General features: G+C 39.3%; 3 protein-coding genes across 45 annotated transcripts in view, besides 2 other annotated features; 2 read left to right on the top strand and 1 right to left on the bottom strand.

Annotated features, from left to right (window-relative positions):
- Nucleotides 1-4,673, top strand: part of ACSL5 (acyl-CoA synthetase long chain family member 5) — a 54,261-nt gene extending 49,588 nt beyond the window's left edge. For 3 of the 4 annotated variants that reach the window (NM_203379.2, NM_203380.2, NM_016234.4), the window contains exons 18-21: nucleotides 1,635-1,778; nucleotides 2,555-2,656; nucleotides 3,085-3,156; nucleotides 3,515-4,673. In NM_203379.2, the coding sequence (NP_976313.1) occupies nucleotides 1,635-1,778; nucleotides 2,555-2,656; nucleotides 3,085-3,156; nucleotides 3,515-3,655 (459 nt within the window). In that variant the 3' untranslated portion in view covers nucleotides 3,656-4,673. The remainder of the gene's footprint in view (nucleotides 1-1,634; nucleotides 1,779-2,554; nucleotides 2,657-3,084; nucleotides 3,157-3,514) is intronic. The other variant, NM_001387037.1, reaches the window with a different exon arrangement.
- ZDHHC6 (zDHHC palmitoyltransferase 6) lies at nucleotides 709-23,869 on the bottom strand. Of its 30 annotated transcripts, none has more exons than XR_007061983.1 (12): nucleotides 23,002-23,211; nucleotides 21,467-21,947; nucleotides 19,812-19,903; nucleotides 18,489-18,648; nucleotides 16,831-16,992; nucleotides 14,633-14,686; nucleotides 10,594-10,761; nucleotides 9,537-9,578; nucleotides 8,673-8,818; nucleotides 8,537-8,583; nucleotides 4,679-7,204; nucleotides 709-1,890 (listed from the first exon to the last, which is right to left on the bottom strand). XR_007061983.1 is itself a non-coding variant. In NM_001363544.2 (12 exons), the coding sequence occupies exons 2-11, from the start codon at nucleotides 21,731-21,733 to the stop codon at nucleotides 4,722-4,724; spliced, it is 1,152 nt and encodes a 383-aa protein (NP_001350473.1). In that variant the 5' UTR covers nucleotides 21,734-21,947; nucleotides 23,443-23,869; the 3' UTR covers nucleotides 709-1,890; nucleotides 4,679-4,721. The 30 variants fall into 30 exon arrangements, 28 of the variants coding, with proteins under 28 accessions (NP_001350473.1, XP_047281609.1, XP_047281616.1 ...); NM_001363544.2 differs by lacking the exon at nucleotides 23,002-23,211 and adding an exon at nucleotides 23,443-23,869 and having other exon boundaries at nucleotides 4,679-4,735; XM_047425653.1 differs by having other exon boundaries at nucleotides 4,679-4,735; nucleotides 23,064-23,211.
- Nucleotides 22,998-23,117: an enhancer, noted in NCBI's record as "active region_4065". NCBI's record gives its function as "activates an Ori minimal core promoter by ATAC-STARR-seq in GM12878 lymphoblastoid cells {active_cell/tissue: GM12878}" and the evidence as "EXISTENCE:reporter gene assay evidence [ECO:0000049][PMID:35858748]".
- The window catches only part of VTI1A (vesicle transport through interaction with t-SNAREs 1A), a 408,381-nt gene continuing 407,648 nt past the window's right edge, over nucleotides 23,285-24,017 (top strand). For 10 of the 11 annotated variants that reach the window (NR_134521.2, NR_134522.2, NM_001365713.1 and 7 more), the window contains exon 1: nucleotides 23,512-23,764. Coding sequence is in view for 8 of the 11 variants with exons in the window: in NM_001365713.1 (NP_001352642.1) it covers nucleotides 23,671-23,764 (94 nt within the window). In the remaining 3 variants the exon portion in view is untranslated. Of the gene's footprint in view, nucleotides 23,765-24,017 lie in introns of all 11 variants that reach the window. The other variant, NR_134523.1, reaches the window with a different exon arrangement.
- Nucleotides 23,318-23,577: an enhancer, noted in NCBI's record as "active region_4066". NCBI's record gives its function as "activates an Ori minimal core promoter by ATAC-STARR-seq in GM12878 lymphoblastoid cells {active_cell/tissue: GM12878}" and the evidence as "EXISTENCE:reporter gene assay evidence [ECO:0000049][PMID:35858748]".

Below are 24,017 nucleotides of genomic sequence, written 5' to 3' on the forward strand. Positions count from 1 at the left end.
TGGGTCCCCTGCAATGGAATAAATTTGCTACCAGCCAGGGAAAAATTAGGTGACTTCTCTAGGAAAGGGGAAGGGAGATGTACTACTCTGTCCTTTTTTTTTCCCCCTTAACTTTTCTTGAGGCAGAAGTTGTGGTTTGAAGCCAAGTGTGGCAGCTCACGCCTATAATCCTAACACTTTAGGAGACTGAGGAGGGAGAATTGTTTGAGGCCAGGAGTTTGAGACCAGCCTGAGCAACATAGCAAGACTCTGTGTCTACCAAAACAAAACAAAACAAAAACCCAAAAAACTTTGGTTTGATAATGCCGTTGGTCCACAGCTTTTGCCTCTTATGAGTTTCTTGGGATAAATATCCTCCCTATTAATTCACAGGCATATCAAAACAAGGAAGAAGGATTTCTAAATCAAGTGTTTGCAGAGGCTAGTGTTTGTCTCTCATTGACCTTCACAGCCCCTTTCTGTGGAAGATACAGAGACATATTTTTAGCATAGCTTGATAATTAGCAGTAGTTGCTATTAGTTTTCCTAAGAAGAAAGGAAATTATTGCAAGGGCAGTGATGGGATTTCCCAAAAGATCTTCCCTCTCAAAAGTTTTGTCTTAACTATGTGCTGGGGAAGTGGGAATGTCACTAGAACTTAAAACTCCTTTCTTGCTCAATCAATATTTAAGATTTAAGTGAGATTTAAGGAATGCTTGACAATGTAACTTTTAAGAACACTGGTCCTAACGATGCATTTTATTGATTTGGGTTTGGTAGTATCTTGCTAATATATTTGTTTCTGTCTAGTAACAGAATTAAATAACACTCTAATAAGCCTAGGATGTAAGCAACAGATATGTCCCCACACCAGGGTTATAGAAGGCTGCACCTTATTAATCACTTTCAGATAATGAACGTTAGGCTGAATTGATGGCTAATTTATCAAGTCGGCCTTGTGATAGTTCCAGTGTTGGTTTAGTTAGTCGCCCTACTTAGGGTGTTAGCATGTGGATTTTATTTGCCATTTGTCCCAATTCTACAATTCAAATCCCTAAAGACCTAAGCTCCTCAGACCAATTAGTTCAGAGAAATGAAGCTGCAAATGACCTTTGGTGGCTGGTCAGAGTCCTCTCAGCCCTGTTGCTGTCCTAACAAGCCCAGTAATTGAGTTGCTTGATTAGCACAGTGGAGCTGTTTGAGCCTGCTCCCGGATCTAACAAGGAGGAAAACATAACAGGGAGTCAAGTGGTGGGAGAACTATTCAAATCAAATCAAAAGTCTAAACAAAAGACAACACCTCTATTTCTGAGAGTTCTGAAAATGAACTAATTGGAAATTAGTGATTGGAAATTGAGAGCTGTGCAATTTCTTCCTTGGATGAGGCATCAATTTGCATAACTCCAGTAGATCCAGGAGACTTTCTCTAAGGCTGCGCATTGACTCTCCACATAGATATACAGTAAAGACAGGTTCTTGCTGCACGATGCTTCCCTCCCCTTTCACCAAAGCCAAGAAAGAGAAATGAAAGACAGCTCAAAAGTCTCTGGAGAAATCAGCTTTAGAGAAGAAAGATGACTGTGACTTCACCACTCTCCCCACTGATATCATCTCTGTGGCTCAAAAATACTGATACTTTTATCTGTCTCATGTAGAATGGAACTCTGAAGATCATCGACCGTAAAAAGAACATTTTCAAGCTGGCCCAAGGAGAATACATTGCACCAGAGAAGATAGAAAATATCTACAACAGGAGTCAACCAGTGTTACAAATTTTTGTACACGGGGAGAGCTTACGGGTAATATATCATTTTAACAATAGCCCATTTCAGTCACAAACCATGCTGGTTCTTGTAGCTACAGGAAATTTGTATAGTTGGGTTCAGAATGAGAAGATCCAAGCTTATAAAACTAAAAAAAAAAAAAAAAATGAAGTTACATTCCAAACCTCAAATAAGGCAATTTCAATTTAAAAAATTTCAAAACTATGATGGACGTTGTACACAAGTCAGTAGAATTGTTTAGAATGGCTATACTAAAAGGTAATGATTCAGTAAAAAATGAGCTCCACATTGCACTTAGTTCCCATTCCTTAAGGAGTTCCTTAAAGCTATGTTTAAGAGCAGTATGTATAAAACAACAAACTGTTGCAATATATATAAAGCAACAAACAAAAGTTTGATCAACAAACTGTTGTTTTATACATACTATGCTTAAACGTAGCTTTAAGGAACTCCTTATCCCAAAACAACGAACTGTTTTATACACACTGTGCTTAAATGTAGCTTTTAGGGGACAAGGGGAGAGTTGACATGGACAAGCCAGAGGCGCTTTAAGCTTAATGTTGAAGGATCAGATTTGAATGGAACATCTTTGTAATGAGATATTGAGTGGGAAAATGGGATTACAGTTCCATGGTGTTGAAAATATATGGTGAGAAAAGAACACTAGTACTGGATTTAAGGTTTTGGGGAAATAACTATTACAATGACATAATTCTGCTTTATTTAACTACTGGGGGACATCCCTACATAACTTCTCTCATGCCCTTGCACCTTTTATTTCCTTTCCATAGTCATCCTTAGTAGGAGTGGTGGTTCCTGACACAGATGTACTTCCCTCATTTGCAGCCAAGCTTGGGGTGAAGGGCTCCTTTGAGGAACTGTGCCAAAACCAAGTAAGTCTTGCCTAGGAAAGCTTTATGCACACCCATGGGCCCATCGTGGAGGAGAGGATGCCTCACCAGTTCCTGCATCTGTCACAAGTGGCTGCAGCCCAAACAGACTGAATAGTTTTATGGGACTCGGGGATAGGATGGAGAGTTTAAAAAATAAAACTCTCTTTTCTATTTAAAATAATATGTTCATTGTGGGAAAAGATTGGGAAAGAAGAGTAAAAATGCTATTCAGAGAAAACTGTTAACACTTAGATGTGCCTTTTCTTCTCAGTTTTTCTTTCAATATTGGGCATATAATGTGCTTGTGCATAGTTTTATATTCCTGCTTTCATACTGCATGGCTTTGACAGGCACTTTGAGTTGGTTCATGCTTAGCCCTTCAGGCTTTTTGAAACAGCCATGCTTTAAGTGATGTTTTGTATTCTTAGGTTGTAAGGGAAGCCATTTTAGAAGACTTGCAGAAAATTGGGAAAGAAAGTGGCCTTAAAACTTTTGAACAGGTGTGTGCTACCACTGATGTTATACTGGCCTCTTGTCAGAAAGTTTTGTTTAAAGTTTCCATCTAATGAGGTTTAAATGTATAATTTCTAAGGAATTGATTTTAGATTTTGTGCCATTAACTACAAAATGACCTTTTGTAGTTACTTGTACAGCGCCCTTTTTTTGCTGTTTATTGTCCATTCTCCCTTCTCCCTACTCATTACTTTCTTAAATTATGTTTGTGGGAATGGGCATGTGTTACTGTTACCTTTACCCTTTCACTGCATCAACCTCACTTTCTTCACAGAGCACTCAGGGGGCTCTGCAGAGAAGTCCAAATCACTAATGAGCATGGATGTGTGTGTGTTCATCTTCCAGGTCAAAGCCATTTTTCTTCATCCAGAGCCATTTTCCATTGAAAATGGGCTCTTGACACCAACATTGAAAGCAAAGCGAGGAGAGCTTTCCAAATACTTTCGGACCCAAATTGACAGCCTGTATGAGCACATCCAGGATTAGGATAAGGTACTTAAGTACCTGCCGGCCCACTGTGCACTGCTTGTGAGAAAATGGATTAAAAACTATTCTTACATTTGTTTTGCCTTTCCTCCTATTTTTTTTTAACCTGTTAAACTCTAAAGCCATAGCTTTTGTTTTATATTGAGACATATAATGTGTAAACTTAGTTCCCAAATAAATCAATCCTGTCTTTCCCATCTTCGATGTTGCTAATATTAAGGCTTCAGGGCTACTTTTATCAACATGCCTGTCTTCAAGATCCCAGTTTATGTTCTGTGTCCTTCCTCATGATTTCCAACCTTAATACTATTAGTAACCACAAGTTCAAGGGTCAAAGGGACCCTCTGTGCCTTCTTCTTTGTTTTGTGATAAACATAACTTGCCAACAGTCTCTATGCTTATTTACATCTTCTACTGTTCAAACTAAGAGATTTTTAAATTCTGAAAAACTGCTTACAATTCATGTTTTCTAGCCACTCCACAAACCACTAAAATTTTAGTTTTAGCCTATCACTCATGTCAATCATATCTATGAGACAAATGTCTCCGATGCTCTTCTGCGTAAATTAAATTGTGTACTGAAGGGAAAAGTTTGATCATACCAAACATTTCCTAAACTCTCTAGTTAGATATCTGACTTGGGAGTATTAAAAATTGGGTCTATGACATATTGTCCAAAAGGAATGCTGTTCTTAAAGCATTATTTACAGTAGGAACTGGGGAGTAAATCTGTTCCCTACAGTTTGCTGCTGAGCTGGAAGCTGTGGGGGAAGGAGTTGACAGGTGGGCCCAGTGAACTTTTCCAGTAAATGAAGCAAGCACTGAATAAAAACCTCCTGAACTGGGAACAAAGATCTACAGGCAAGCAAGATGCCCACACAACAGGCTTATTTTCTGTGAAGGAACCAACTGATCTCCCCCACCCTTGGATTAGAGTTCCTGCTCTACCTTACCCACAGATAACACATGTTGTTTCTACTTGTAAATGTAAAGTCTTTAAAATAAACTATTACAGATACTTACGTTGTGGTGTTTCTTTCCTCATGGACCATGATGAAAATCAGTCTTAAACAAGGACCCCTTAAAAATCAAGTACAGTATCTGTTCTTAAACTTGGGTACACAATAGAATTATCTAGGAAGTTTAAAAAGACACTAATGCCCAGCACTTTGGGAGGCCGAGGCGGACGGATCATGAGGTCAGGAGACCGAGAACATCCTGGCTACTATGGTGAAACCCCATCTCTACTAAAAATACAAAAAACTAGCTGGGCGTGGTGGCGGGCACCTGTAGTCCCAGCTACTCAGAAGATTGAGGCAGGAGAATGGCATGAACCCGAGAGGCGGAGCTTGCAGCGAGCCGAGATCGCACCACTGCATTCCAGCCTGGGTGAAAGTGTGAGACTCTGTCTCAAAAAAAAAAAACAAAAACAAAACAAAAAAACCACTAATGCCTGGTTGCCACTCCAGGGATTCTGGCTTAAATGGCCGGATACAGCCTGGGCACTGAGATTGTTAAGAAGACCCACAGATGATTCTAGTCTGCGAACAGGTTAGTGAAGAAAAGTAAGTTCTGAAGACCAAACCTTCTTATCCCATAGCTGTAAAGAATAAAACAAATACCAGCTGAGCCAAAACTCCAACTGAGCACAAGTCATATCCATTCTTTTACCATCTTTGTTGTACTCTAATTATAATCTTGAATATTAATAGTATTCTTTTCTGGCCTCCAACTGGAGTTAAAGAGAATGTTCTTGGATGGTCTTTCTAGATTTTGAGCCCAGAAAAGCCAAAGAAATATCTATTCTTAAGGATCTGAAACAAAAGGGTAGGCAGGAATTAACTTTTAAAGTCTAGCTCCCATTATCACTTTAACTTTCTCGCCTTCACTTCCTTTCCTATTCTCCCCTCACGCATTACAGCTGAACCTCACTAGTTACCTTCCTGTTTCTCAAACGTGTCAGACACAGGTCCAGCCTGTTTTTGTTCTTGCTGCTGTCTCTAAAATGCAAATATCCCAAAGCACATGACTTGTCCCCTCATCTGCTTCAAATGCCAACTCAAGACTGTCCTACCTTCTTGCTTCACAATAACATGACTCCATCTTACATATATTTTACCTGTCTGTTCACTGCTGAATTCCCAAGTGCTCTTCCCTTATCCTCAACTATTACAGGCCTGGCCCCCAAAGCTTCACATTCCCTGCCTTGGAAAGGTTTCTGAAGTCCAGAGAAATAGGCTTTCTCTTTCCTTCTGTGATTCCACTGTTATGTTTAGACAAGCCCAATTTAAGCATCCAAGCCCACCAGCTTGGATCCTACCACTCACACAAGCTTCAGCTTTTTACTCAAGGGTACATGAGTAGTTTGATATCACTATGTTTAAAGTCTAGAACACTACTGCCACGGGATCCTTGGGGTGTTGCTTCCCCAGCTGGAATCCTCTGTGGCTGGCAGCCCAAAGTCCAGAGGGGGCCTAGGCGGCAGGGCGCTGGTGTCAGCACCACTCAGAGCTCACGTACACCTGGCCAGGTCCTCACAGCACCCGGGCTTGGCCTCACCTTTGCTCCAGAGCGAGTGCCAGGAGCAGGAAGAGGCCAAGCAGTTGTTGGGGGGGGGGTGTGGGGGGGGTATTTCCCCTCGGCCCCCTAGAGCACAAGGATGCCCGGGTCCGCAGCCACGGCTGGACAGCTGTAGCTACGCTTGGCTCCTGCCTATCACGGCTCCCCCTCAACACCCCTCAGGCCACCACTGCCATCCGCTGCCATCACTATGACCGCAATATCCCATTAATAGGGTTAATATCTTGAAGCAAGTGTGTCATGTCTTAAGCCACGTTTTAAGATGCCAGTTGTCCACAGGGCAGCAGAGCAGTTTTTCCATAAGGAACTAAGATGAACCTTTTTAGTCAGCAAAAAGAAAAATGCTTTAAGTAAAAACTGATTATACCCAACATCCATTGATCTTTATTTGATTTGACAAAATCTGCATTTTTAAAAGACAGGTAACAAAATCTGAGGTTATACTGAATCTGACAAATTGAGTTCTATAGTATCTAGAATATCATATAAGAAATATCAACTGAGGGAAAAGAGAAGTACCACATGCAGATGCTCCTGGCAAGGGGGGAACTGTATCTGCAGGTGAGGTCCAGAGTGTGCAGTGCATAAGAAAATCCTACAGAAAATGCCGTTAACTTACTTGGATGAAATGTTTTTCCTTTGAGGGGGAGGAAGAGGTGGTAAAGAGGGGCAGGAATTCAAAGGCATATGCAGAATGGCTTCTCCATTTCAAAATGGTAATAAAAATATTTAAATCATGGCACTAGGGCACCTTTGAGGAAAAGAACATCTTAACCAGAGTAGGCTCATTGCATAATTCTTTAGTAATATGTACAATTTTCAAGTAATTAAGCAGACTTAAAGGATAATTTTGTTTTAACAGCAGCTATCTATTTTTCTTCTCCCCCTCTGGGGCTTGATCTGTTTCAGCATCACAGGGACACTTTTCCACACATTTTCTAGGGAACCAACCCCTTATTCTTGAAACACCTGAGGGAGAAAATGAAATTGAGGTGAAATAGTCTGATGGATGACAGTGACATTACTGAAAGCAGTAAGTCCTATTACTTCAAATTAATAAGCTTGTAGTTAGACTTTTATTCCCCACTTTGCTATCTATTATAAGCACAGTTTGAAGGGGAAAAAAATAAGATTTTTAAATGTTCATAACAAGCTAGGAACAGGTATTTCCCAAATTTGATGATCCCGAATAGGGACTAATGTGGTTAAAGACAGCTCCTAACTAGAGTCAGGGGGAACTCGGTATGGGTGTTTACTTATATGTGTATGATCAGGAAAGGTGTTTTTGGCACACCATCACACTGTCTTTTCCAGGGAACTATCTTCTTGTAGTCTTTGTAAATTTCCTTTTTAGACTTTTTCTAACATATATATTTCTTTCTTTTTTTTTTTTGAGATGGAGTCTTGCTCTGTCACCTAGGCTGTAGTGCAGTGGCACGATCTCAGATTACTGCAACCTCTGCCTCCCGGGTTCAAGCAATTCTCCTGCCTCAGCCTCTGGAGCAGCTGGGATTACAGGCACACACCACCATGCCCGGCTAATTTTTGTATTTTTAGTAGAGATAGGGTTTCACCATGTTGGCCAGGCTGATCTTGAACTCCTGACCTCAGGTGATCCATCTGCCTTGGTCTCCCAAAGTCCTGGGATTACAGGCATGAGTCACCACACCTGGCCTAACATATACATTTCTATATCACGGCCGTCATAAGAGGTTAATTTATGATTAACCCCAACTATTTTTTAAAGAACATCCCGAGCTAATCTTTACTTTAAAAAGAAACAATTATAAAACTTAAGAAAAAAAAAAACACAAAGTTTCAATCTACTGGTTTTTATAACAACTTAAGAGAAATGCTCAAAGTGGGGGCAGCAAATAGTACAGGGGTTTGGTGCATAGAATCTGGAGTCAGACTGCTTGGGGTTAAGCCCTAGCTCCATCTGTTTTCAGTGCATAGCTATGGGCAAGTTGCCTCTCTGTGCTTCAGTTCCCTCAATCAAATATAAATAATAGTGCCTACCTCCGAAGTATTTTGGGGACTTCTACACCTTAAGGGTAGCACTTATACAAGTACTTTTCGCATAGTTATGAGCTCAAATGTTAGCTATCATTAAAAAGACCTGAAAAATACAAGAGCTATAGAGAAATATATAAGGAAGTTCCTTTTGTTGCTTAGTGATATACCCTTCTATGCAGTTCCCCTAATGCATTAGGCATGATTGGTTTATAAAAGTTATTCTTGTAAAATTTGGAATTATTGCTAATAGTCTTGTCCTTTAAACATGCCCTTCCATTTCCATACCTTCTATAAAGGAATCATCAAGAATTTTGTCTCCATATAACCAGTATCTGAAATATTTAAAAGATGAAAATTAATTTTTTAGGCTAGATATTAATTTTGTCCTTGAAGAAGAAATGCAGTACTTCCTATTACTTACCGTAAACCTCTTGTGGCTAAAATGAATTCCCCTTTTTGCAGCTGTATTCGAGGCTCTTCGGTGCAGGGACTTGTGAAGAAGGTTTTGATTCCTTTATTCAGAGGGCAGCAGGCACCACTATAATCTTCTATTACTTTATAGCGAACCTGTCGTCAGTGATCAGAAGAAACCTTTAAATATTCACCCATGATATCTGAGTTTTAAGTCTGAATTTCAAATTTTAAAGCAAGATCCAAAATATCCAGTGACAAGCCTTCTAGTTCCCCTTCTAGGGGAACCTCCCAGTTCCCCATCCACCTAGTTCCCTGGGAGGCAACTAATGTTTCTAGTTCTCAAGGCTTTTCTTACTCCTCTTTTCAAGCCCATAGCTAAGAATTAGAGTTAGAGCAGGGCTAAGAACATTCTGCCATGATGGAAATGTTCTGTATGTGTAGTATCCAATGCAGCAGCACTTGACACATGTAGCTACTGAGTGAGCACTTACAATGTAGTGAATGCAAACAAGAAACTGAATTTTTAAATTGATTTAATTTTAACAAATTTAAATAAAACAGCCACATGTGGCTGGTGGCCATCATATCCAACAACATAGTTGTAAGGATAGGTTTCACATTAAGGAGCTGTATTGAGGATAATTATTTTCCTATGTTGGCAATATAAATGGACTAAATTCCTCCCAACCTCTAGTCCCAATTATTTAAATAAAAACAAAAGTTAACTGCATCAAATTTCAACAAATGTATTAAGGAATACTATTTAATAAAGGCCAACAATTGGTTTCTAGTCAGTCAATTAAAAAAACTGTATGGAAGTACAGAGCCTAACAAAAGAAAAAAAAATTACCACTGCAAAAGAAGTACTTACACTTCTGACTCTCTTATCTGCTTTTTGTTTCAACTGTTCTATCTGTTTGGAAGAAATAAAAAGAAAAAAATGAAGTCTCTTGTCTCAATGTTGAAAAATCGCCTTTCCTCATCAACTGTCAGAGTGATATGGCAAAACCCCAATTTTCCAGCATTTCAAGTTGCTGATAATTTAAAGGCCACAGGTTGTTTTAGCATGGAAAAAAAGGCCCTATGCTAAGAACCAGAGGCTGAGAGTGAGGTTTTCTTCTCGCTATTCACTCTCTAATGTCCTCATCTGTGTATATTCCTAGAGTGCTTACTGTGGCCCAGGGATCAGGGAGTATATTCTCCGCCCTCATGAAGCTTCTCAGGTGAAAACACTGAGATTCACTGATTCTGTAGAGACATGGCAGACAAACTACAAATGAATAATGAAGAACATTTAATAATGAAGTTGAATGAATAAAAGTCATCATAACTTAATTTGACATAGCTACTATTAAATAGCACTATATTAGATATAATAGGAGAAATAAAGATAACTCATGATCTCTGTCCTAGAATCTTATGAAGTTACAGATATAAGATAGCAGAATTAAATAAAAATATGAGACTTCATGAGCTACCATAGAGTAGTATGTGATTAAATGTCACATTCAGATGAGTCTATGGGGGTAGGTTAGACTTTATGGAAGAGGTAAGACTGGAACGAGTCTTAATAATTTTAGATAGAGTGGAGGTCATATAAGATGGAAAAAATTGTGGGCAAAGTTGGGTGACAGGAATGTATAAGGAATTCATATGCTACTGTAAGTTGGAAGGTAATTTTTGGCCAGATTTCATAAAACTATGTTAAGGGATCAGGACTTTATCTCACAGGTATAGAGAATTAAGGAGATATTGAAATAAAGGGAGATACATGATACAAGGAGTGCTTTAGAATTATTAGATTCATTTTGACATAGTGAAAACATTCATATTACTTATTTTACTACAAAATGTCACTTGAGTTGAGGGGGAGTTAAGGGAAAGAAGGCGAGGCAAAAAGGAAGGGCTATTTGAACAAAAATACTCACTGTTAAGCTGTATTGGTGACAGCCTTCTCTTACTGGCCACTCAAGTCCATCTCCTTCAGGGACCCCTGACCACGTAAATACCTGTTTAAAGTTCCTCCATCTACTTCCCATATCATATGGAAAAACAAAGACTTCATCTAGTTGATAATACTGAATTCGATCTTTAGCCTGTGGGTAACAAAGATATAAGATGGCAGGTGCCTCTGTCTAAGTGGCCTGCAGTAATATGTTATTGAGAACACTTATTTCTCAAGTTTCTAACATTCATAAAAATACTTCCTCCTTGCTGTAATATTAGTGTACATGGAAGCAATAGACAACTTCATCACAATATAGGAAGAACTTGATATAGAACACCAGCCTTGTATGTGATTACCTAGGAAATATCTGACAGGGTTTCTTTAGGAATAAGCACTCATAAAGGCTTATTAAAAGTTAGCTAACTTTATCTCATACATAAAAAGTCCTCAATGCTCCTAGTTGTTCAGCAATACAAAACAATTCAGGTATATAGAAGGGATGCAGATAAACAGATTCAGGAGAAAGGTAAAGGTTTATTCAGGATGGAACCGTTTTATTCAAGATAGAACTGTTTTGTGGGGTGCACCAGAATGTAACAGTTGTATCAGAGGGTAACAGTTATATCCTGGGTGGCAGTGATGCCCATGGGAATGACCAGGAAAGGTGTAACAGGAGAGCTGTTTTATGAAAAACATTTTTTAAAGCTAGCAGATATATACAGGAGATCTTCTTTCTTTTTTTATACTATCACACATGTACACATAACTCATTTATATATGCATTTATATGTACATGTTATGCATGTACATAACTATTCAGCTTGCATATATTCCAGGCATTTAAACTGTTAGCTTTAACTTGAGGAAATAAATTGGCTTTGGATTTCTTAAGTTCCACTGACACCTAGTGGTACAAAGATACATTATTTATTTTAACAATAAGTATACAAATCCCTTCAAATTTGTTGTATATAGTGTCTGGTAATTTCTATACATTTCCTATAAATTTAATATGGTCATTTGTTTGAATTTTTTACTCAGCAATAAAGTGCCCGTTCTGAAATAATTTCTAGTCTATGGCCATACCATTCAGCATACTCAATCTCATCTGAGGTAATTTCTAAATGTAGCATGGCGGTTTATAAGCAGCCTTGGTCATCCACAAAAACAAACAAAAAAATGTTAATCTAATGTCAATATATTTATTATGCTTATTAGAAATGATACTTTGAAATATTTGATTATCAGGGGACAATGTTTTATGGAAAATGTTGCAATTATTTGTTGAGTGATATTAAAGTTAACTATTTACTAAAATAATTATTAAGCTATAATGCATATGAATCTATTAAGTTATATAAATCCATCCTCCCCAGAAAGTAAAGAATAATTTCATTTTCTTTTTTATAAACACAGCTTCAGAGTCTTCAAAATGGACTGAATTTCAAAGAAAAGAGTTCTAGGCTATTTACAAAGAAAAACTGGTAAATATAAGAGAATTTATAAAATGACTAAGACATGTCTTTGCCTAACAGAAACACTCAATGAAGTTAGGATTCTATCAATATTGTGTGTTAAAAGGTGATGAAGGGGTGTGGTAGATGCTATGGGAAAAGGGAACAAAGGAAACAAAAAGTACTTAGCCAAGTCTAGGGAGTATCCAGGAAGGGTCCTTGGGAGAAACAATACCTTAACTAAGTCTTGAGAAGCAAGAAATCAGGCAAAAAGAGAGGGAAGAGCATTCTAGGCAGAGGGAACAACATGTGCAAGGATACAGAAGCATAAGATGTACAAACTATGAGTAATTTAGTATCAAGTGTGAGACAGGGTAGAGAAGGGTAGGAAATTAGGCTGGAGAAGTAGATAAAAAGAAGTCCGCCAGGTGCAGTGGCTCACGCCTGTAATCCCAGCACTTTGGGAGGCCAAGGCGGGTGGATTACTTGAGGTGAGGAGTTTGAGACCAGCCTGGCCAACATGGTGAAAGCCTGTCTCTACTAAAAATACAAAACTTAGCTGGGCATGGTGGCATACACCTTGTAATCCCAGCTACTTGGGAGGCTAAGGCAGGAGAATCACTTGAACCCAGGAAGTGGAGGTTGCAGCGAGCCAAGATTGTGCCACTGCACTCCAGCCTGGGCAACAGAGCGAGACTCCGTCGCCAGAAAACAAAAAAAGAAGTCATAAAAGGTCTTACTTATGTAGAAGCTAAGAAGCTCAGACTTCAACCTGTACATCAGTGGTTCTCAAAGCATGCTTTATAGATCACTTTGAGTATTCAGGACTTTTTCTTGCTGGTCAGCAAGGCCAAGCTATTTTCATAATAATACTGAAATGTTATTTGTCTTTTTGTTGCATTGACATTTGCAATGGTGAATAAAACTGTTGGCATCTTAGCAAAAACCAAGGCAGTGGCACCAAACTGTGTTGGTAGTCATTATGAGCAATTCCATGTAAGAATGTCCTTGATGAAGCAGTAAAAATTGTTTTTAAATATTAAATCTCAACTCTCAAGGAGATGTCCTTTATTTTTAACAGTCTGTGTGACAAAATGAGAAGTATACATAAAGCGTGCCCAAGTAGAATGATCATCTCAAGGAAAATAGTTGTTAAGCTGTAAGCTAACAAAAGCTGTAGAGCCAGCTTTTTTAATGTAACACTATTCTTATTTGAAAGAATGAGTAATATAGCAAACTAAGGTTATTCAGACTTCAGGACTTGGTGAACATTTTCTCAAAAACGAACAGTCAGGCAGTCACTTCAAGGGAAATGACTGACAGTATGGGTTAATAGTAAAAAATTAAGGCTTTCAAATGTATACTAGAATTACAAAAAAAAAAACCTTGTATCTACCACTGTGAGCCTGACAGCTTTCCAATACTTAAGGATTTTTTCTCATAAAAATGATATATTGATATACGTGAATGCAATTTTGGGATATTGTATAATGAAAGGTGTTTAACGTTTGCAAAATCTACATAACACAGTAAACTAGTATTTGCCAAATGACCGATGCCTGATGTTACATAAAACCACATACTGGTAAAAGATTAATTCAAAGAGCAAGATAGACTGATGAGTTTTAAAATAAAAAGGTATAAAAATCTTATTGATAAGAAATATCACTTGTCAAGTTTTCAATGTAATACGGAAGAACATCCACTATTATCATGTAAAAGGCCTATTAAAATATTCTATCCTTTTCTACCTACTTATCTGTGTGAGGCTAGATCTTCACATACTTCAATCGAAGCAACATATCTCAACAGACTGAATGCAGAAGTGAGAATCCAACCATCTTCTCTTAAGTCAAAGATACTAAAGAGATTTGTAAAGATATAAAACGATGCTATTCTTCTCCCTATTTTGTAATTTGGAAATTGTGAATATTCCCCTGTGGCAACAATCAGCTTGGTCTGCCAGGCAATTCTTTGGTATACAGGCTTGCTCCCCTTCATGGACGTTATCTGCCCAGACCCTGCAGGTATTTGGGTTTCAACCCCTGCCACAGGAATGGTGAGGCTCTGAGAAGTTTTAAACACAGAGCAGGGTAGTCAGATTTGTGTTTCATGCTAGAATCACAATGGACAGTATGAAGTATTGGACATTGTGAGGTCTGTGACAAGCAAAATGTTAGGAGCTTCATTGAATGTCTAAAACACTGAGAAAAACCTGATGGCAGTTTGGTAGGGTGGAAGCTCCTTTCCAAATGGGCTGCTTTCTCCTCTAGTCTAAGAGACAACAAACAGATGGTTTGACGTGTGGCTTAGGCCTCTGCGACCACTCAGGGTGTATGAGAAGCACCTTTCTGTGGGAGTTACAGAATGAACAAAAATGTTTCCTATATTCACCTTTTATGTGGCATGCAAATGACTTACGGTAGCCATTTGGCAGCCATGTTTTCACTTTTAGGCACTTTTCGTTAATCCGGTCTAATAACAGACTTTATTAATATTCAGGACTTTACCAGTCCTTTATTAATATACTTTTTTAATATTGAAGAAACAATTATTAAAATTTACCTTCTCTTCAATCCATGACTCAATAGAAGTTTTGTTTCTGAGAATTATTTTCATCTGGAAATTAAATGATAGTAAAATTTAATAATGCGACCTTGGTTCCTTTAAGATTATCATATTCATAATTCTCTGAGATAGCTTTTATTACTCCATTCCATAGACAAAGATACCAAGGATAACAGAGGTTAAGTACCACAATTACCATGTCATCCGTCTGACTCCAAAGTCCTTGTTCTTAACTACTGCACCACGGTACCTCTCCGTAACAATGATTACACCCATCCATAATCAAATCTGAATCTAGTATGTTAATCAAACTTTATGTCATAAGTACTATTTTCAGAGCAAGGTTTAATAAAACATTGATATAATCCATTTAATCAGTGCTTACTTATAATTTGCTATTAAAATCTTTTATCACTATTTTTAACTAACTTTAAATTTACGATTAATCTATTTATGAGAAGTAACAGTGACTCATTTCAGTCAACCTCAATATTTCACTTGCCTTAAAAATAATGAATGTATTCAGTCTTTATTCTATTATTTGATTTTCCTAGATATGACTGATTCCACATATATAGGCTTTTATATTATAGGATCTTAGTTTATTTCTAATATGATTCTAAATTAGAGGCATTGGGGAAAATTTTTCAAAGAATTTGGTCCCAGGCTAGTAGACGATAATAAAGTATAAACAAAACCAGATTATTTTAAAACCAAGAGTTCCCTTAAAGTCTGGCTGTGCCTTCAGAGAGACAGTGTAGTATGTTAGAAACAGCCTTGGTGGAGGCTGCAATAAGCCGAGATCGTGCCATTGCACTCCAGCCTGGGCCAACAGAGCCAGGCTCTGTCACAAACAAACAAACAAACAAACAACAATAAAAAAATAAACAGCCTTGGCCCAGGAGTCCTCATCATATTCCAAGGGCCTAGCATAATACCTGGCCCACAGTAGGCCTTCAATGAATGAATGAATGAATTACGTGAATGCAATAAGTCATAAGAATGGTTTTTGGGCCGGGCACAGTGGCTCACACCTGTAATCCCAGCACTTTGGGAGGCTGAGGTGGGTGGATCACAAGGTCAGGAGTTCAAGACCAGCCTGGCCAAGATGGTGAAACCCCGTCTCCACTAAAAACACAAAAATTAACCGGGTGTGGTGGCAGGTACCTGTAATCCCAGCTACTTGGCAGGCTGAGGCAGAGAACTGCTTAAACCCGGAAGGCGGAGGTTGCAGTGAGCTGAGTTCACGCCATTGTTCTCTAGCCTGGGTGACAGAGTGAGACTCCGTCTAAAAAAAAAAAAAAAAAAAAAAAAAAAAAAAAAAAAAAAAAGAATGAAAAAGAATGGTTTTTGGTCCCTTCAGAGCCAGGTCCTCCTCCTCTGTGTTCTCATAGCACTGTGCACATAAATCTATGATGTACATATGGCCCTGTATTAGTTAACTGTTTAATATTAACTGTCAGTTCCTAAGGGCAGCTACCTCTTCATTATCATTTATGCAGCCTTAGAAATTAGCAAAGTGATTCATCAGAGTAGGCTTTAAATAGCATCTTTATCATAGGGCTGTTATGGAGATTAAATGAGCTAATACATGTAAAGTGCCTAAAACAGTGCCTTACACATAATAAGTGCTCAATAAATGTTAGCTATATTATGATTACTATTATTAAATATATACTATTATAAAATAACATTAGTGTTTACCAAGTACATGAATGGGTGACATTGGGTAAGTCACTTAACCTTTTTGAGAATCAATGAATTAATCATCTGTCGGGAAGGGAAAATGTTTACCAAGTACATGAATGGGTGACATTGGGTAAGTCACTTAACCTTTTTGAGAATCAATGAATTAATCACGTGTTGGGAAGGGAAAACAGTAAGACTCCTCTATTGGGGTGGATGTGAAGAGCAAGAGAGACTGTACAGGTGAGAAGAGCTCTCTCAATTCTGAAGTGCTCCAGAACTTACCTAACTTGAAGTTAGCATTTTAAAAACTAAATCAATACCTAGAAATTCTGGCAAAATTAAATCAAAATTATCTGACGAATACAAAGGAGATTAGTTACCTAAATGAAATAAGCAAAAATAATTTCCATTTCATACTGGACACTTAAATACAGGCTTTGTCTCTTTCTTGTGCAATCAGTCCCAACAACTTGACACTTTTGACTTGAGGTAATTGAGATGCTTACCTGGATAAAAAACAACATCCCAACAGCTATGGTTGTTCCTAAAGCTAATCCCAAGGCAAACAAGGTGGTAGCAAATGCAGCTAATCCAAATGGAACAATTGGAAGAGGATCTCTCCGGGCTGCACTCATGTCGATCTTCACTGTGTTCCACCCAAAGGAGAGCTATCGCAGCAACAATAGCACACGCACAAAATGTTTGGTTATGGTAACTGGTCAGACTCTACTGTGACACGTAAAACAACTTGATCAAAGAGATAACAACGTGGCCCTGTGGCCAACGCAAACACAGCTATTTTTATTTTATTTTATTTATTTATTATTTATTTATTTGAGACGGAGTCTCACTCTGTCGCCCAGGCTGGAGTGCAGTGGCACGATCTCGACTCACTGCAACCTCCACCTCCCAGGTTCAAGCAATTCTCCTGCCTCAGCCTCCCGAGTAGCTGGGACTACAGGCATGTGCCATCACACCCGGCTTATTTTTTATATTTTTAGTAGAGACAGGTGTCACCAGATTGGCCAGGCTGGTCTTGAACTCCTGACCTTGTGACCCACACCGCCTCAGCCTCCCAAAGTGCTAGGATTACAGGCGTGAGCCACTGAGCTGGGCCAGCTATTTTTAATTAATATAGTAATGAGCTCGGACCGATGTGCAGGATATCATTCTTAGTTTTCTCAAATGTTACTTTTTGTTGTTGTTGTTTCCTCAGAAAGTGTCAAGGAGACCTTACCAACATTAACATACATAAACAACACTAGACACTAATCTAAACCAGAACTATGTCTTTTCTCTTCTCTTGCTATTCTACATCGCAGTATTCTTCCACAGTGACAAGTGCTGCCTAGGATTCAGTTGTTTCTTCCCTCATGTTTTACAAATGGTGATGAAGAACTGATAAAATGCAGGCCAAATATGGCCACAGATGTGTGCTGCCTGGCCTGCATAATGTTTCAACATTCAGAATTAGGTGCCAACATTTAAAAATCAAGAGATTTCACATAAAAATCCAGATTTTCAGATTTTTCTGGGCTAGAATTTCCAAACACCACAAGCTAGCAGATCAAATATGGGCTGTCCCCTCCCCAAAGGACAGACTCTCCAGTTTGGCAGTCCCATCAGGTGTGTCTCTCGTTTACTTTCAAGGCCTGTTTAGGGAGGTTTGTGTCCCTTGAACTTTATCTCATGACTACTTGCCCATAAATCAACTTGATCTCTTGCTGGTTTAATCTGTTTATATTTTATGGTATGCATCTGCTCCATGAGCCACCTTCCAGGGCACTAGAATCAGAAATGAACAAAGAACTACAACTTGCCACATGAATGGGATGAAAGTAGGAAGCACTAGTGTTGTCTTTTTTTCTTCTATTCTTTCCATAACTATTAAGTTTGAAGTCTAACAAATTACATATACAGTACTAAAATATTTATCACCTTCAACTACAGCATGTAAGTTTTCAGAACAAATACTCTTTCCTCATCTTAAAATTTAAGTTTTAATGCTTTCTAAAAAGGAACCCATATACCAGTAAAACAAAGTTCTATTTCCCCAACTAAATCACAGAAAGCATATTTCCAAAAGGAACCTCTTAAATGTTGATAACTACCATTTAATCTTGCATGGATGATTTTATAACAAAACATTTTCATTTTCACTTACCCGATGATAAAGCTGTGTGTACATAGTCATCACAAAAATGAAAGCAGCATGGATACAACCCAGTGGTGCTAAAAGGAGAAACAGTGTGAACGAAGCATGATTTTGGTAACCACAACAGTTGTTGATCCAAGGACAGTGATGGTCCATCTTCATCACACATCTAACAAGAAAAATTTACATAAAACATGAGGCAGAAAATCCTGTCTACTTTAAATAACTTTGGTCTTCAAAAGATCAAGCAAATAGGAATCCAGCATGTCCATGAGCTACGAGAGAATTATACTTCATGGAACAGAAAGAAAAATCTTTATGAGCTTTTAAACAATTAAGTGACTCCTTTTAAATTCTAAACAGCACAGGAAAGGGCAGGCTTTCTAACAGCTTCTGAGGAAAAGATGTCAGCTACAAGTATTTGTTTAAAGAAGTCAGGAGACCCACTGAAAGAGGGTCTCTTTATAATGCTCATTATAAAGAAATGAGCATGGTTCCTGGTTTTCTTCTAGTTTGTAAGTGCAGTGACCCAAGTGACCTACAATAGAGACTCAACAAATCCCTTATAGACCTCCAGTGGGGTTAATGGGCTCAAATAGACACATGTAACTTCCTTCCTGTTCTCATAGTATCCTTTAGTTAATGGATCTCTGAGCTAAGCAAGCTAACTCCAGAATATAAGATATGGTATAATAAACAAAGTCTTGCCGTGTACTGTTGATAGAAGACAATGTTTTGGCCTGAAACAAAACTTTATTTGCTTTCAACGGTTCTCTAAATTTCTTACTAATCAGTGATTATAGCTGTTCATTAAAAAAGGTCACAGGTTATTTCATATTTTTAATAGTCAGTTTTCTTCTAAGTTTTTGATATTAAAACATTTGTGATAATAGGCACCTGGATTATTAGATGTGTATAAAGTGTAAATGTTTGTCAATAAGTAATGGGAAAAGCAGATCTCCCTTATAATTTAGACTCAGAACAATTCTAAAGTTAGTCCAGATGGCAGCTGACTAACACAATTAATCTTGATATATGGAAACAAACTTAAGGTTTATACCTTTTTCCCTTGTTCTTGTAGGACAAGAGGCAAAGTAAATCTGTATTTTTCTGGAAAATCTTTTCACTTGTAACAAGGAAGAATTAAATCTATTTATTATCTAGATAATTTAAGTATAAAATGGCGATTATGGACACAAGTATTCTGACAATATTGTTTATAATATGGTAACCTTGCAGTGAATAGAAGTAGCACTAATGTAGTATAAGCAACAATGAAAACATCAGTAATTAGTTGATCAGTCCTCGCTGAACAGCAAGAAAGACAGGTACCTGTTACACTTTCTGCAGTGATGTGAACGTGGTGCCTTGTATGCTTGGCAGACTTTACAATACTGGAGATACATGGTATCCTGAGAAATTTCCTTGGCAGCAAAACAGAAACAAAAATGCATCATCGGATACTTGAATATAAGTATGATTCCTACGGTATGATTTTCTTTTATGGGCGATAGGGGAAGGAGAGAATCTTAACTTGCATTTCCAGTCCTCTTATTTGAGCTAAAATATTTTTAAATAAGTTTTCTGGTAAGAGCAGCATCACTTTCCCAATTACCCAGAAGTCCTTTTAAATTTTTCTTCCTTGTGCTCCACCTAAATTCAGTGTCACTAGTTGGTTCTACTTACCCCAAATCTTAGTGGATTCAGGAGTTCAGAAAAAGGTAGCTGACAACTTAGCAGGTATTTTAGAGTGAGGAGTTAATCGTGAGTTGATAGTCCTACTGAAATCTGCTCCCTCCTTGACATTACCCGTCACCACCCCTTTCTTGGGCCATTTTAATCACTTCCTAACTAGTTTCCTTTACTGTAGTTTTTCTTCAGCACAAACCGTGTATTGTCAAAATAATATTCCTATAATACACCTCTGACTGTGTCAGACTCTGCCTGAAAACCCCTACAACTTTCTATGGTCTACAATTTCTCATGTATTTAAGACTGTCACAATCTGCCTTTGTTTCAGCTGTCTCTGCCCTACATGATCTTTTCCCCAGTCACACAGGGCTGTCTACTGTTTCTGAATACGTGGTCCCACCATTCTTTCAACCTGAAATGCCCTCTTCCCCATCTCCTTTGGAAATTCCCACTCCTCCCTCAGGTCCCCAACTAACAATGCTCAATTCTTCTAACTTTAACAGCACCCATCACGTTCTACTTTATAGTTTAGTGATTTGCACAAGTGCGTTTGTTTCTTGCTTAGGTTATAAGCTCTTTCAGAGTTCAAATTACATCTTACCCTCCTCTGTACGCATTTTGAATAGTACATAGCACATGATATACACCAGTGCTTCCCGAACTTTAATATACCTAAGCATCACCTGGGCACTTTATTAAAATAAAGATTCTGCTTCAGTATGTCTGAAGTGGAGCCCAAGATTCTGCCTTTCTGACAAGCCATCAGGTGTGGTCCCTTAGCAGGAAACATGGACATTCATAAGCATAAATTTCCCAGTAGTTTTTAAGCTATAAATGGATTTGGACTATACTTCCCAATGTTATATTTTCAGTGCAATGATTTTAAAACTTTATGATTTAAACCAGCAGTTTCTAAAGCGTTTTTCTCAGTTCTAAGGGATGTTAATGTATTACATGAAAAAAGGTACTACAGCCAAACCTCACTGTGTATGACATGTGATGTTTCCTAAACTTTTGACCATGAACCTATCCCACCTCCACCCCACCTCCATCTTTTTTTTAATGCAGAGCAAATATTCAATAAAATTGCTTTGGAAAATGCTATTTTGGATCAATGTGTTCAAACAGATATGAAATAAAGTCTCCGAGCCTAAATGATCAGTGATTAGAGTAATATACTTAGTCTCTGTGAGGACAAACAGTAGGCTGTGTTTGGTATTATTGGTTAGTAGATAAGGCAAAAACCAAATATACGATTATCATTAAAGTTCATTGTCTTACAGAATCTTTCTTACCGGTTTCCACCCCAGAGGGACAAAGCCCGGACCGACAAACATGGCATTGAAGTAATTATAAAGAATCATGACAGTCCAATTTATCAACATGATGAAATTCACACTTCCTCCAGTTGTATGTAAGGGCCAATACCACAACACAGAGTCAATCATGGCCATGGTAGAACATATTGCTATAACACCAAGGGCTATGATGGGACCCCAGTGACACAGTCTCTTTAATTCTTGTAGATTTTCAAACTTGATAACCGAACAGAATGTACCCATTTTGGCAAGGAAGAATGCCTTCCTACTTTAAAAGAATTATAGATTTCCTTTTTCTGTGCGCACATTTCCATGTGCCACAAGTCCATGTGTGTTCTTTAATTGTCATGCCTTCAAGCTGTGAACTGTTAACGCAGATTACACCATTTTCACTGTCAGGCACCCAAAGCTCTTTATCTTAACTAGGAGAATCCAGTGTCTTGGTCTGAAACCCAACCTAAAGAAAACAAAATGGGAAAGTTCAGTTAAAACAAAACAAAACAAAACCTTTATTGCATACCATACTTGTTAACTACAATAAACACCTACACAACAGCATCTCACAAGTGCACTACACTTTGGGATGCATATCTTGTCAAATGTCAAAAAGAACTACTTTTGACTTATCCAAAATATGGTACAAGTTTGAATGGCATGCAAACTGGATACACGATTCCAAAATAGTTTTTTTTATTCCTTCTCCGCTTGTCAGGGGACTGTCACCATCCAACGCTTAGTGAATAGTTTGAGAAGACAAAGAATTTTAGGACCTTAGAGTTGATCTAATTCAGTTTCCTTCTTCATAGAACAGAAATTGTCTTAGAGAGGCTGAGTGATTAGACCAAGGTCACAAGTAACAGGTGAACCAGAATAGAAGGCAAGTCAACGACCTCCCTTTATGAAATTCTAAGCTGCCTCTTATGAAGTCTTGAATTAAGCCAAGTATGAGTCAGACATGGTCTATGCCATTTGCCTGCAGTCTCCTCCACCCCGCCACCCAAACATCAAGAGAACAGTCAATTTGGCCCAAAAGTAAAGGAGCGACAGTGAAAGCAAAGAGAGCATGCAAGGAAAGGAAGGGAGGAGATAGAGCGAGAGTGTGTGTGGTGTGTGTGAAATTATGACCAGAAGAGTATATGAGAAGAACCTGAATTAGAAGATTCGAGGGAAGAAAGAAGAGGAAGTGCCTCCAGGAGCGAGGGAAATGGAAGGCAGGGCGGCGAGCTCCGGAGAGATTTGTGGAAGGGCATCTCTGCCTGGACTGGATCTGAAGATCTGGAAGAGGATCTGAGCTACATGGATAATACAGACTACCACGCAGCAGACGCTGTTGACTTGTGCCTCAGTTTCCCGCCCGAGTCATGGAGCAGAGGGCTTAGAAATAAATCCTCACCCAAGGAAGAAATATCCTGGTAAGCCAGGTTGGTCTCAACATTCAGGAGAGCCTGCTCCCACTCTGGTGGGACAAAGACCACCAAAATCGTGCTTATATTCCCTGCCTTGACTCCCACCTCAGTGTGGTCCCTGGTGTCTGCTCCTCAGCCATCGCATATCCGGGGCGGCCTGGGCTCACCCGGAACAGATTTTTTCCTCCTTGGATGACTCCGTCATGGACACCTCAGCCCAGGACAAGCAGAGAGCAAACCCTGGCAGCGAGAGGCTGGAGTGCGGGACCTGCTACAAGCCGAGCACCTCTCGGCCAGCGCCCTCGCCAGGACTCTCCCGCTCAGGCCCCCTGCGCAGTCTCTGTTACTGTCACTTCCGGAGGTTCGCCGCCTCAAACCTCCCTCCGGAAGCAAGCTGCTGTGCCTTGTAGCGTGTGGATCCGGAGCCGATTCCCAGAACACGAAGGGGGGAAAAAACGCTTCTAATGATCCCTCAGAACTTGCATATTTTCATACGCTTTTCTGGGGGGAGGCACTAATTGGGGCGCTTTTCCTTTGCGAACTTACTTATCTTAAAGTCGGAGCGGAAAATAAAGCACGCACGCAACCCAATTTCCGGAGAACCGAGATTGCGACGAACAACCAGGAAGCGGCTGGGTTGAGAGCTGTCCCCGGTTCTCCGTTCTGCTCTCGGGGGCACCTTCCGGGGTTCCTAAGCCGCGGGGCCCCTCGCTGCCCCTCGAGGCCCTTTCCCTGACCTAGGCTTTGGCCTGGGCTACTCGTTCCGGAGCCGCCATGTCGTCCGACTTCGAAGGTTACGAGCAGGACTTCGCGGTGCTCACTGCAGAGATCACCAGCAAGATTGCGAGGGTCCCACGACTCCCGCCTGGTGAGAGCCTTGCCCGGCTGGACGAGGGTGCTGGGGAGAGCTGGGAGGGTGCGGGCGGTGGAACGCCGCCCGAGTAAGTGTGTCTATGAGGCGCGAGGCTGGAGTGGGTGGTGCCGGCTGTTCCCAGGAGGGATACGGCTTGGCTTGGTTGAGGGTAAGGAGTCAAGTTCGGGTGTGGGGTGCCGTGAAAAGAGCCTTCGGAATCTGAGCCATCTGAGTTCGAATCCCGGCTCTACCTTCTTGTAACTTGCAT

This window comes from Homo sapiens, chromosome 10 (assembly GCF_000001405.40).
Source record: "Homo sapiens chromosome 10, GRCh38.p14 Primary Assembly".
Classification (NCBI taxonomy): Eukaryota; Metazoa; Chordata; class Mammalia; order Primates; family Hominidae; genus Homo; species Homo sapiens.